General features: G+C 37.7%; 1 protein-coding gene across 41 annotated transcripts in view; it reads right to left on the bottom strand.

The window, feature by feature from the left end:
- TMEM62 (transmembrane protein 62) overlaps nucleotides 1-12,329 on the bottom strand; it is a 52,030-nt gene that overhangs the window by 18,144 nt on the left and 21,557 nt on the right. For all 41 annotated transcript variants that reach the window (NR_144541.1, NR_144543.2, NR_144542.2 and 38 more), the window contains 2 exons: nucleotides 12,170-12,329; nucleotides 6,207-6,320 (listed from right to left, as the gene is read on the bottom strand). Coding sequence is in view for 37 of the 41 variants with exons in the window: in NM_001347004.1 (NP_001333933.1) it covers nucleotides 6,207-6,320; nucleotides 12,170-12,329 (274 nt within the window). In the remaining 4 variants the exon portion in view is untranslated. The remainder of the gene's footprint in view (nucleotides 1-6,206; nucleotides 6,321-12,169) is intronic.

The raw sequence follows: 12,329 nt of genomic DNA, 5'->3' as shown, positions 1-12,329 counted from the left end.
ATAGAAAGGGGGGAAGGTGGGGAAAAGATTGAGAAATCGGATGGTTGCCGTGTCTGTGTAGAAAGAGGTAGACATGGGAGACTTTTCATTTTGTTCTGTACTAAGAAAAATTATTCTGCCTTGGGATCCTGTTGATCTGTGACCTTACCCCCAACCCTGTGCTCTCTGAAACATGTGGTGTATCCACTCAGGGTTGAATGGATTAAGGGCGGTGCAAGATGTGCTTTGTTAAACAGATGCTTGAAGGCATCACCACTCCCTAATCTCAAGTACCCAGGGACACAAAAACTGCGGAAGGCCGCAGGGTCCTCTGCCTAGGAAAACCAGAGACCTTTGTTCACTTGTTTATCTGCTGACCTTCCCTCCACTATTGTCCTGTGATCCTGCCAAATCCCCCTCTGCGAGAAACACCCAAGAATGATCAATAAAAAAAAAAAAAAAAAGAAAAACCTCAAGGAGAACAAGTTGGTGAAATATCTCTCCATCATTTCAGGAATAATTGATTTGCACTCTGACACAAACCAGTCCTGTATTTAACATATTAGAAACATGGCAATCCTCAGATATTCTGTTTAAAAGAAAAGATGCAATCTAATATGGGCAATGGATACATAGGTGTTTGCTGTATGATTCCCTCTACTTTGGTATGTTAGAGATTTGGGGTTATGGTTCTTGTTAAAACGAAGTAAGCACAGTCTACTCTGTCTCTGCCACCAAAACAAATAAAATCTCTGGAAAGAAAAAAAAGAAAAGAAAACAAAAGACTCTGCCTGGTAATCAAGAGAATTCTCCCAGTTCTTACCCAAGCCCACCAAGCCCACGTAAGGCTGCAAGAGTTGCAGTATTACTGGGCTTGGGGCACCCCCTTGTACAGATATGGCTGCAGTGACCAAAGACTTAGATCACAACCCTCAATTCTTTGAATACCTGGAAAGCCTCCTCAAGGAGGATGAGTACAAACAAGCCCAGACTACAAAGATTAGAATAAATACCTAACTCTTCAAGGCCCAGACACTGACAAACATCCACAAGCCTCAAGAACATCCAGGAAAACATGACCTCACCAAATGAACTAAATAAGGCACCAGAGACCATTCCTGGAGTGACAGAGTTATGTGAACTTTCAGACAGAGAATTCAAAATAGCTGTTTTGAGGAAGCTCAATGAACTTCTTGAAAACACAGAAAAGGAATTCAAATTCCTATCACAGAAATTTATTTATTTATTTATTTATTTATTTTTTATTTAATTTATTTTATTTTTTTTTTGAGACGGAGTCTTGCTCTGTTACCCAGGCTGGAGTGCAGTGGCGCAATCTTGGCTCACTACAAGCTCCGCCTCCTGGGTTCATGCCATTCTCCTGCCTCAGCCTCCCGAGTAGCTGAGACTACAGGTGCCCGCCACCACACCGGGCTAATTTTTTGTATTTTTAGTAGAGATGGGGTTTCACTGTGTTAGCCAGGATGTTCTCTATCTCCCGACCTTGTGATCCGCCCACCTCGGCCTCCCAAAGTGCCGGGATTACAGGCGTGAGCCACCGCACCCAGCCTCCTATCACAGAAATTTAATGAAGACATTACAATAATTTTAAAAAATCAAAGCAGAAATTCTGAAGCTGAAAGATTAAATTGACAAACTGACAAATGCATCAGAATTTCTCAAGGGCAGAACTCATCAAATAGAAGAAAGAATTAGTGAGCTTAAAGACCATCTATATGAAAATACACAGAGGAGAAAAAAAGGAAAAAAAAAAAGAATGAAGCACACCTACAAGATCTAGAAAACAGCCTCAACAGGACAAATCTAAGAGTTATTGGCCTTAAAGAGGAGGTACAGAGAGAGATCAGAGTAGGAAGTTTATTCAAAAAATAATAATAGAGAACTTTTTTAACCTAAAGAAATATATCAATATTCAGGTACAAGAAGGTCATAGAACACCAAGAAGTTTTAACCCAAATAAGACTACCTAACGGCATTTATTAACCAAATTCCCAAAGGGCAATGATAAGGAAAGGATCTTAAAAGCAACAAGAGAGAAGAAACAAATAACATGCAAAGGAGCTCCAATATGTCTGGCAGCAGACTTCTCAGTGGAAACCTTAAGGCTAGGAGAAAGTGGCATGACATATTCAGAAGGAAAATAATTTTATCTTAGAATATTATGTTCAGCAAAAATATCCTTCAAACATGAAGGAGAAATAAAGACTTTCCCAAACAAACAAAGCTGACTTTCCCAAACAAACAAAGCTGAGGGATTTCATCAACACCAGACCTGTCCTATAAGAAATGTTAAAGGAAGTTCTTCAGTCTGAAAGAAAAGGATGTTAATGAGCAATGAGAAGTCTAGGCACAGTGATTCACGCCTGTAATTCCAACATTTTGGGAGGCCGAGGCAGGAGGATTGCTTGAAGCCAGGAGTTCAAGACCAGTCTAGGCAACAAAGTGAGACCCCGTCTCTACAAAAAAAAAGTAAAAATTAGCTGGTTGTATTGGCATGTGCCTGTAGTCTCAGCTACTTGGGAGGACCCCATCTCAAAAAAAAAAAAAAAGAAAAGAAAAAAGAAATCATCTGAAGGTATAAAACTCACTGGCAACAGTAAATATACAGCCTAATATAGAATACTCTGACACTGTAATTGTGGTACATAAACCACTCACATCTTGAGTAAGAAGACTAAAAGATAAACCTATCAAAAATAATAACCACAACATCAGTTTTTTTAAGAGATGGACTCTTTAAGTCTTTTCTTTTTAAGAGATGGAGCCTTTAAGAGATGGAATCAAACATCTGATCCACCAATAAAGAAAATTATAAATTGCTTCAGCATTGCTCTTTCTGAATTTAGATACTTAGACCAATATTGAAGCTAAGTAATTTTATACAATTATATTAAGCAATCAAATTAAAATAGTCCACTTTCATTGTACTGGGAGAAGGATACTTTGTTTTGTTTTAAAGTTCTATAAGAATAAAAAAACAGTATAGACTACACTGCAGGCTGAGTGAACATAGACTGTTTTCTTTTGCTTTCTTCTCAAGAAGTCATTCACCTGGAGATGAATTCACAATAGTGACATATGACCTAGGTGCTTGTTTCTCAAAGTAAGATCCTGGACCGTCACTGGAATCCACTAAAGCCTGTTAGGAATGCAGAATCTCAGTCCCCTTCTCAGAATTGCTAAACCACAACCTGTTTTTTTGTTTTTTGTTTTTTTTTTGAGACGGAGTCTCGCTCTGTCACCCAGGCTGAAGTGCAGTGGCATGATCTTGGCTCACTGCAAGCTCCGCCTCCCGGGTTCACGCCATTCTCCTGCCTCAGCCTCCCAAGTAGCTGGGACTACAGGTGCCCACCTCCATGCCCAGCTAATTTTTTGTATTTTTAGTAGAGACGGGGTTTCACCATGTTAGCCAGGATGGTCTCGATCTCCTGACCTCGTGATCCGCCCGCCTCAGCCTCCCAAAGTGCTGGGATTACAGGCTTGAGCCACCGAGCCCGGCCCCAGAACCGTATTTTAATAACATCCAGGTTATTCATTTGAATATCAAAATTCCCCAAGCCTAATTTAGGTGACTGTTAAAAATCCACAAAAGAAAAAATAACAAATGATTTAAAAATTTTGTAGTAATGAGATGCAAATGCTTATTAATAATATGTCTGAAAAAATCATACAAGTAACAAAAGTAAATTAAAATAATAATGATCTCACATTTTAAGTCCGTGAGAATATACACTAAACCTATCTCTGGGAGGTGAAATTAAGGAAGGTTTAAGTTTTCTTCTGAAAATTTTAGTGTATTTCTTTTTTTTTATTTTTATTTTATGCTAACACCCAGGATAAATGAGATCTGAGGGAACTACAGTATAAATTACCATAGCTTCTCTAAAAGACAATTTAACAGTGTATATTAAAAACTAAAAAAATACCCATTTACTCATTTAAGAAATATTTATTGAGGGCCTACTATGTGCCAAGCATACCAAAATATAAGCCCTCATGGGGCTTATATTTTAATGAGCGAGGATAGGAAAAAAAAATGATGGTTATAAATAATAAATAATTTATGTAATTATGTATATAAATAGTAAAGTATATAAAATAGTGTGCCCACCCTTTGATCCAGAAATTCACTTCTAGAAATTGATCCCAAGAAACTATATTAGAGAGATATCTAAAAACTTAGTTACAAGCATTATTTATACAGTAGAGGGGCAAATTAGAAACAACTTAAATGTCCAACAATAGAGAAGTGATTAAAAAAATTAAGGCAGCCAGGTGCGGTGGCTTACCGCTGTAATCCCAACACTTTGGGAGGCTGAGGTGGGTGGATCACCTGAGGTCAGGAGTTCAAGACCAGCCTGACCAACATGGCGAAACCCCGTCTCTACTAAAAATACAAAAATTAGCCGGGCATGGTGGTGGGCGCCGGTAATCCTGGCTACTCAGGAGACTGAGGTAAGAGAATCACTTGAACCCAGGAGGCAGAAGTTGCAGTGAGCCGGGATCGTGCCATTGCACTCCAGCCTGGGAGACAGAGCGAGACTCCAGCTCAACAAAAAAAAAAAAAGGGCCAGGGGCAGTGGCTCACGCCTGTAGTCCCAGCACTTTGGGAGGCGGGTGGATCACTTGAGGTCAGGAGTTCGAGACCAGCCTGGCCAATATGGCAAAACCCCGACTCTACTGAAAAAAAAAAAAAAAAGCTGGACGTGGTCGGGGACACCTGTAGTCCCAGCTACTTGGGAGGCTGAAACAGGAGAATCACTTGAATCCAGGAGGCGGAGGTTGCAGTGAGCCAAGATCGCACTGCTGTACTCCAGCCTGGGTGACAGAGCAAGACTCTGTCTCAAAAAAAATAAAATAAAATAAAAATTAAGGCATATCTATGGCAATATAATGCAGCTAATATGTTATAATATAAATTGATAAGAGAAAATAGTCAAGACAAATTCCTCAGTGGAAAAAAATCAGACAGCAAAAGAGAATAAAGGTATAATAGTATTTATGTTAAAAATACATATACAAAAAAAAATACATATACAAGCTGGGCATGGTGGCTCATGCCTGTAATCCCAGCACTTTGGGAGGCTGAGGCGGGTGGATTGCCTGAGGTCAGGAGTTCGAGACCAGCCTGGCCAACAGTGAAACTCCGTCTCTACTAAAAAAATACAAAAAATTAGCTGGGCGTGGTGGCAGGCACCTGTAATCCCAGCTACTCAGGAGGCTGAGGCAGGAGAATCACTTGAACCCAGGAGGTGGAGGTTGCAGTGAGCCGAGATGGCACTATTGCACTCCAGCCTGGGAAACAAGAGCAAAACTCTGATTCCAGAAAAAACAAAAAACAAACAAGCAAACAAACAAAATACATATATACACACACACATATATATATACACATGTGTATATAAGAGAGAAAAATTAGAGTATCATAATGACAAATACAATGGTTATAATGGATAGTGTGATAAAAGAAAGATGTGTGGCTGATTTAACTTTATTTCTAAATTTTCCAAGTTTTCTACACTGAGCATATATTATTGATGTGGAAAGAAATATTCTTTAAAAAGCCTTAACCCAAGTTGGCATAGTCCCTATAATTCCCTTAGTTATCCTGTTTTTATAGCATCCTTAGTTATAATTCCCTTCGATATGATAACTAATATCCTTTGTTATAATTCCCTTAGTTATCCTGGATTTATAGCATCCCAAATGACTCATCCATGCCTCTGCTTCTTTTAATTCAAATCAACTTAAAAGCATTTTATTCTTCTAGACAAATAACTAACCTTTAATTTTATAAGATTCAACTTTCTTGTCATATGTTTACAATAGTCCCCCTTTATCCACAGGGGACACATTCCAAGTCCCCCCCAGTGGATGCCTGAAAACACAGATAGTACCGAACCCTATATATATTATGTTTTTTCCTATAAATACATACCTATGATAAAGTTTAATTTATAAATTAGGCACAGCAGATCGACAACAATAATAATAAAATAGAACAATTATAACAATATACTATAATAAAGTTACAAGACTATGGTCTCTGTCTCTCAAAATATCTTATTATATATAATATTTTCAGACCATGGATGACCTTCGGTAACTGAAACCATGGAAAGTGAAATCATGGATAAGGGAGGACTACTGTATATTATTTAGGACTCTGCATTTAACATATGTAATATTTAATTGAATTCACTTACCATGATGTAGTGATCAGTACGGAGAATAAATGATGCCAGGGGATCAAAACTGAGATGATTATTCTCTTGAACAGAAAATATGTGGTGAACACTCTTACTTCTTCCAGCAGAATCCTAGTAATAACCACAGAAGAAAAGTAACTTTCATGTACATGGAAATATTTATAATGTTCTAAATTAAAATAAGAATAGGTTTCTAATAACTACACTTTGTTGTTGTTGTTATTGTTGTTGTTGTTGTTGTTGTTGTTTTTCAAGGTTTCTCTCTGTTGTCCAGGCTGGCGTGCAGTGGTGCAATCATAGCTAGCTCACTGCAGCTTTCATCTTCTGTGGTCAAGTGATCTTCCTGATACAGCTGCAGGACTATAGGCACACACCACTACGCCTGGCTAATATTTAAATTTATTTTAGAGATGGGGTCTTGCTATGTTGCCCAAGCTGGTCTTGAACTCCTGGCCTCAAGCAGTCTTCCTGCATTGGCCTCCCAAAGTGCTGGCCTTATAAGTACTTTTAATAATATTTCTTAGGCCAGGCAAGGTGGCTCACACCTGTAATCCCAGCACTTTGGGAGGCCAAGGCAGGTGGATCACTTGAGGCCAGGCGTTCAAGACCACCCTGGCCAACATAGTGAAACCCCATCTCTACTAAAAATACAAAAATTAGCCAGGCATGGTGATACGCACCTGTAATCCTAGCTACTCAGGGGCCTGAGGCAGGAGAATTGTTTGAACCCAGGAAGAAGAGCTTGCAGTGAGCCGAGATCACGCCACTGCACTCCAGCCTGGGTGACAGAGTGAGACTCTGTCAAAAAAACAAAAAAAGAGATTAAAACCTATAATTCTACATTTAAAGAGTAAATATTAGCATGCACTCACGTGTATTTTCCCTTTAAAAAAAATTTTTTTATTTCCCTCTGTTCCCTAAAAAGGCCTAGAAATAACAACAAAGCTAACAGTAATGAGCTACCTAGGCTGGTGCCCAGGTTGCGGTCTCAAAATAGTATTTCTCACTACAAGAAACCAGTGCTCTTTAGGGAAACAGCTCATTCCAGTTCTTGAATAGGAAGTGCACAAGAAGAGATATCTGCACTCCCATGTTTGTTGCAGCACTGCTCACAATAAGATTTGGAAGCAACCTAAGTGTCCATCAACAGATGAATGGATAAAGAAAATGAGGTATATATACATAATAGAGTACTATTCAGCCATCAAAAAAGAATAAGATCCTATCATTTGCAACAACATGGATGGAACTGGAGACCACTATGTTAAGTAAAATAAGCCAGGGACAGAAAGACAAACATCACTTGTTCTCACTTACTTGTTGGATCCAAATATCAAAACAATTGAACTCATGGATACAGAGAGTAGAAGAATGGTTACCAGAGGCTAGAAAGGGTAGTAAGGGGGCATTGGGAGGGAGGTGGGGATGGTTAATCAGTACAAAAAGCATAAAAAGAATGAATAAGACCTACTATTTGATAGCACAACAGAGTGACTAGAGTCAATAATAATTGTACTTTTAAAAATAACTAAAAGAGTGTAATTGGACTGTTTGTAAAACAAGGACAAATGCTTGAGAGGGTGGATACTCCATTTTCCATGATGTGATTATTACGCATTGCATGCCTGTATCAAAACACCTCATGTAACCCACAGATATACACACCTACTATGTACTCACAAAAAGTAAAACTTTAAAAAAAATTTTTTTAAAGAAAAAAATGCATAAGAAAAGCTTGGAATATCTTGTCAAATCAGAAAGTAAGAAAACGAACAAAGACTACTGGGATTGTGTCAAAGGGCTTAGTAGTCAACATGAAGAGGCTCCCACTAGCCAAAGGTGGAACAATTTGAGCATGGAAAATAATAAATGCAATGGACTGAAATACATCAAGTATTTTTTATACATCAATATATTTTTTAAACTTTGAATTTATAATACTACTAAATGTAAAAGACTCAGTCACCTTTGGCAGATACTAAAGAACCAACTCATTATTCTGAAAACTGCTTTAGTAAAGGGGCAATGGGGAAAGAAGAATTTATCTTGCATTTTGTGTGTGAACTTTATATCTGGGTACCAAATAGATAAGATAATTTTTTTCTTCATAGGACTGTTCTAATTAATATTCCTATAATAAGGAAAGAAAATGTGAATATCACCATTTTATAACTCTAATAAAAAATGGATTTAGGTAAGTATCATCAATGGCTGCTAAAAACCCTTAGGTGAAAAGATAATGGAGGGATGAGCCAGCAGTGTGCTGGAGCTGGCTTGACTGCTCATAAGAGCCAAATGTTAAGTTTTCAGCAATTTTGCAGGCCACTTAGCATGGCGTTGGTAGCTTAAAACCAGCCATGGTAGAAATATTTATATTATGGGGATTGGTACAAATCAGGGAAATGCTACAAATCAGGATCCCCTCTCCTTGACCCCTGTAACTTGCCCCAAGCTGGTTACTAAATATTTACCAGCACATCAGTGGATAAGGCTACCAACAGCTGAATACACTGATCCATCTTAACATTATAGAAAGAGAGACAACCAAATATTATGGGCATCCTGTTAAAAGCATAAAAAACCAGATAAAGTACTCTTGCCAAAAAACAAACAGATGTAAATCTGATGAAACCTCTAAATCTAACTACCAATTATAGAACCTAAAGGGGACAGGGACAGAGGAACATGTTAAATGATACCCCAGGGATGTAAACAGCAAAAATCCAGAAAACAGGGAACTCCACAGGACCAAAGATTCAGTTTCCAAAACAAATAAATTTTAAGGGTACAAAAAAGAGGGGGGAGGTAAGGGATGCAATCTGTACAGTAAAAGAGATGAAAGAGACAAGTCGGTTAAATAGAATGTAAGAGCCTTGATTGAATTCCGATTTGAACCAACCAAATGAAAATATACATATCTATTTATCTATCTATCTGCCTATCTATCTATGTAACATATTGGGATAACCGAACATTAAATGGGTAGTTCGATATTACGGAACTACTGTTAGTCTTCCAGGTATGATATGGTATCATGGTTAAGTTTTTAAAAAACAGTCCTTATATTTTACTGATAAATATTGACATATTTACAGATGAAAGACATCATGGTGCAGGGAGGGGAGATAGGGATAAAGAAGGAACAAGATTGATCATGAGTTGATAATTGTTGAGACTGGCTGATGGATACATGGGAGTTCATTATAATATTATCTCTTTTGTATATTTAAAATTTTCCCATTATAAAAAAAACTTTAAAAATAACAATAAGAACTTACAGTTGTGTTTTTTAAGCTTTTATTGCTCAAAATGTGCTTATATTAAACTATGTTATTGTTTTAAAGCAGGAATCTAGATTTTTCTAATGTTTGAGATTAGACCTTTCTAGGGTCTACTCTTTAAATTGGCAAAGTAGGCACAATAATCTTAAACTACAGATACTCATACTTTAGTGGACATCAGAATCACCTGGAGAGATTGTTAAACTAGATTGCTAGGTCCTATCTCCAAAGTTTCTGATTCAGTAGATTTCAGATGGGACCTGAGAATTTCCATTTCTAACAAGTTCCCAGGTGATACTGATGCCACTAGCCCAGGACCCACATTGAAAATTGATCTAAAGGTCTAGTTGCTACTAGACTGTGGGGAACCTATAGATATTCAATAAATACAATGAGTAGGTAAAATATTAGATAATAAGTGTCTTCTCCCACGGATTTTGAGTTTCAAATCTGACTTATCTACAGTTTACTGTACTTAAAAGGACAGAACTTTCCCATGAATGAATGAAGGGACCAGGTTCCCTATTTAATACTCAGTAGGTTGTTTAAAGTTATACATATAAGAAAACAGAAAACAGATCAGTCCTTGCCTGAGAATGAGGATGTAAGGAAAACAGATTGCAAAGGATACAAGAAAACTTTTGAGGGAAATGTATCATATTGTTTGTAGGCGATGACTTCAAGGATGTATACATATGTCAAAACTCACCAAATTGTATACTTTAAATATACAGGGTTTATTATGTTATTATGTATAAATTATACCTTGATACCATTGTAAGAAATGTTAAACATACAAAAAGTATGTGATTTTACATTTTTACTAAGGATTCAACTAAGCAGCCAGAAATGTTTCAAGGAATATAAGCTATGGTTTTTTTTTCTTCATAAAACTACAGAAGTTGTATGTATATCTTATTAAGAAAATAATACACTGGGGTTCTGAGGCACTCCAGACTGTAGTGACTGTGAAGACAGGGAATAATTTATTCTAGGTGCACATGAACCTTCAAGTCTCTTTAAAATGATCCACCTTCTTCTAATATGAAAGACCTTAAGGGTTCATCCCCAGCTATCTCTCCTTCTACTTCTGCTGTAAGTTTTTTCTTCCTTCTACACAGAACATTTTAAAGATGGATGGCATAGCAGAGTGTCTTCTTTTGTGCAGATGTACAAGTTTCTCCATTTACAAACCAAGGGTAAAACTACCCCCAACAAAGGATTGTTTTGTGGATTAAGTAAAAAATTCTAAGTGCCTAGCATCTCCTTAGAGGGAGCTCAGTAAATAGTTTCTTCCTACTCAACCTGTCTCTGTAGGGGGGATAAAAAAGATAATGAAAATAACTACATATGTTTTCTGAAAAATTATTTAGTGTTTCAAATTAAGTCTTAATATTAGAAGATTAAATAGTTAACAACTGTCATCAAATCATAAAGTTGCAGAAATTGACAGGTGTGTGTGTGTGTGTGTGTGTTTAAGAAACTAATTTCTGAGCACAGCTTATCGCCTTAAGAGTTTAATGAAACTGCTCTATTTTGGTAATGATTATTATTTTCTACTCTGGCAGGTGCTAATAAATTAAATGCCCTAAATTGAATCAGAATAAGAAAAGGCAAACTGGTACTGCATATGCTAACAATGCTTATTCCTCTAACAAAAAAGTGCTTCTGATGCACTGAAAATTCTGTGTCCTGAAGCTTTCAAATAATGACACAATTGTCCTACAATTAGAGACAGCAATCAAAGACATGGATACATAATACATGTTTTCTGACTTATTCTATTACCTTTGGGTATACTGGGGAATTTGCCCCTATTATGAAAAGATTCTGGGCAAAGTTGGAAGAAAACACAAGAATGATTTCCTGGGGCTAAAAAAAGGGAGTCTATGGCCACTCCTCTTCTCCTCTGCCTAGTTTTTAATCTAATATTAGAATTATTCCAAGTGCCCATTTTCAGAATATACTAAATACAGTGTATTCAATTTATTTTTATTTTTATTTATTTATTTTTTGAGATAGGGTCTCGCTTTGTTACTCAGGCTAGAGTGCACTGGCACAATCAGAGCTCACTATAACCTTGAACTCCTGGGCTCAAGCGATCCTTCCATCTCAGCCTCCCAAGTAGCTAGGACTACAGATGCACGCCACCATGCCCAGCTAACTTTTATTTTTTTGTTGAGATGCGGTCTCACTATGTTGCCCTGGCTGGTCTCAAACTACTGGCCTCAAGCGATCCTCCAGCCTCAGCCCCAATTTTTTCACTTTTTTTGTTTATTTTGAGACAGGGTCTGGCTCTGTTGCCCAGGCTGGAGTGCAGTGGTGCAATCTCAGCTCACTGCAACCTCTACCTCCTGGGCTCAAGTGGATTCTCCTGCCTCAGCCTCCTGAGTAGCTGGGACTACAGGCACATGCCACTGTGCCCAGCCAATTTTTGTATTTTTTTGTAAAGACAGGGTTTCACTGTTTTGCCCAGGCTGGTCTCGAACTCCTATGCTTAGGTGATCTGCCTGCCTTGGCCTCCCAAAGTGCTGGGATTACAGGCGTGAGCCACCATGCCCGGCCCCCAGTTTTTTTTTAAACATGGTTTCATTACCAATTGACTAAAAAATTCCAAACCAGAATTCATTGTGGCTACAGCTTAATCATTTACATAGTAAATATAAATTACTAACTTACCTGGACGATTACTTCTATGTTATGTGTCCCACTACTGTAGTTTCTAGGATTCCACTTCAGTACGAAAATGGGACCAGACACATGAACAGCCTGGCCTAAATGAACTCCATCAATCTTAACTGTGACAGAAGTAATGGAGGATAAGGAAAAGGCCAAGACT

Source organism: Homo sapiens, chromosome 15 (genome assembly GCF_000001405.40).
Source record: "Homo sapiens chromosome 15, GRCh38.p14 Primary Assembly".
NCBI lineage: Eukaryota > Metazoa > Chordata > Mammalia > Primates > Hominidae > Homo > Homo sapiens.
Note: the sequence above shows the minus strand (reverse complement) of the source record. Positions and strands in the feature narration are given on the sequence as shown.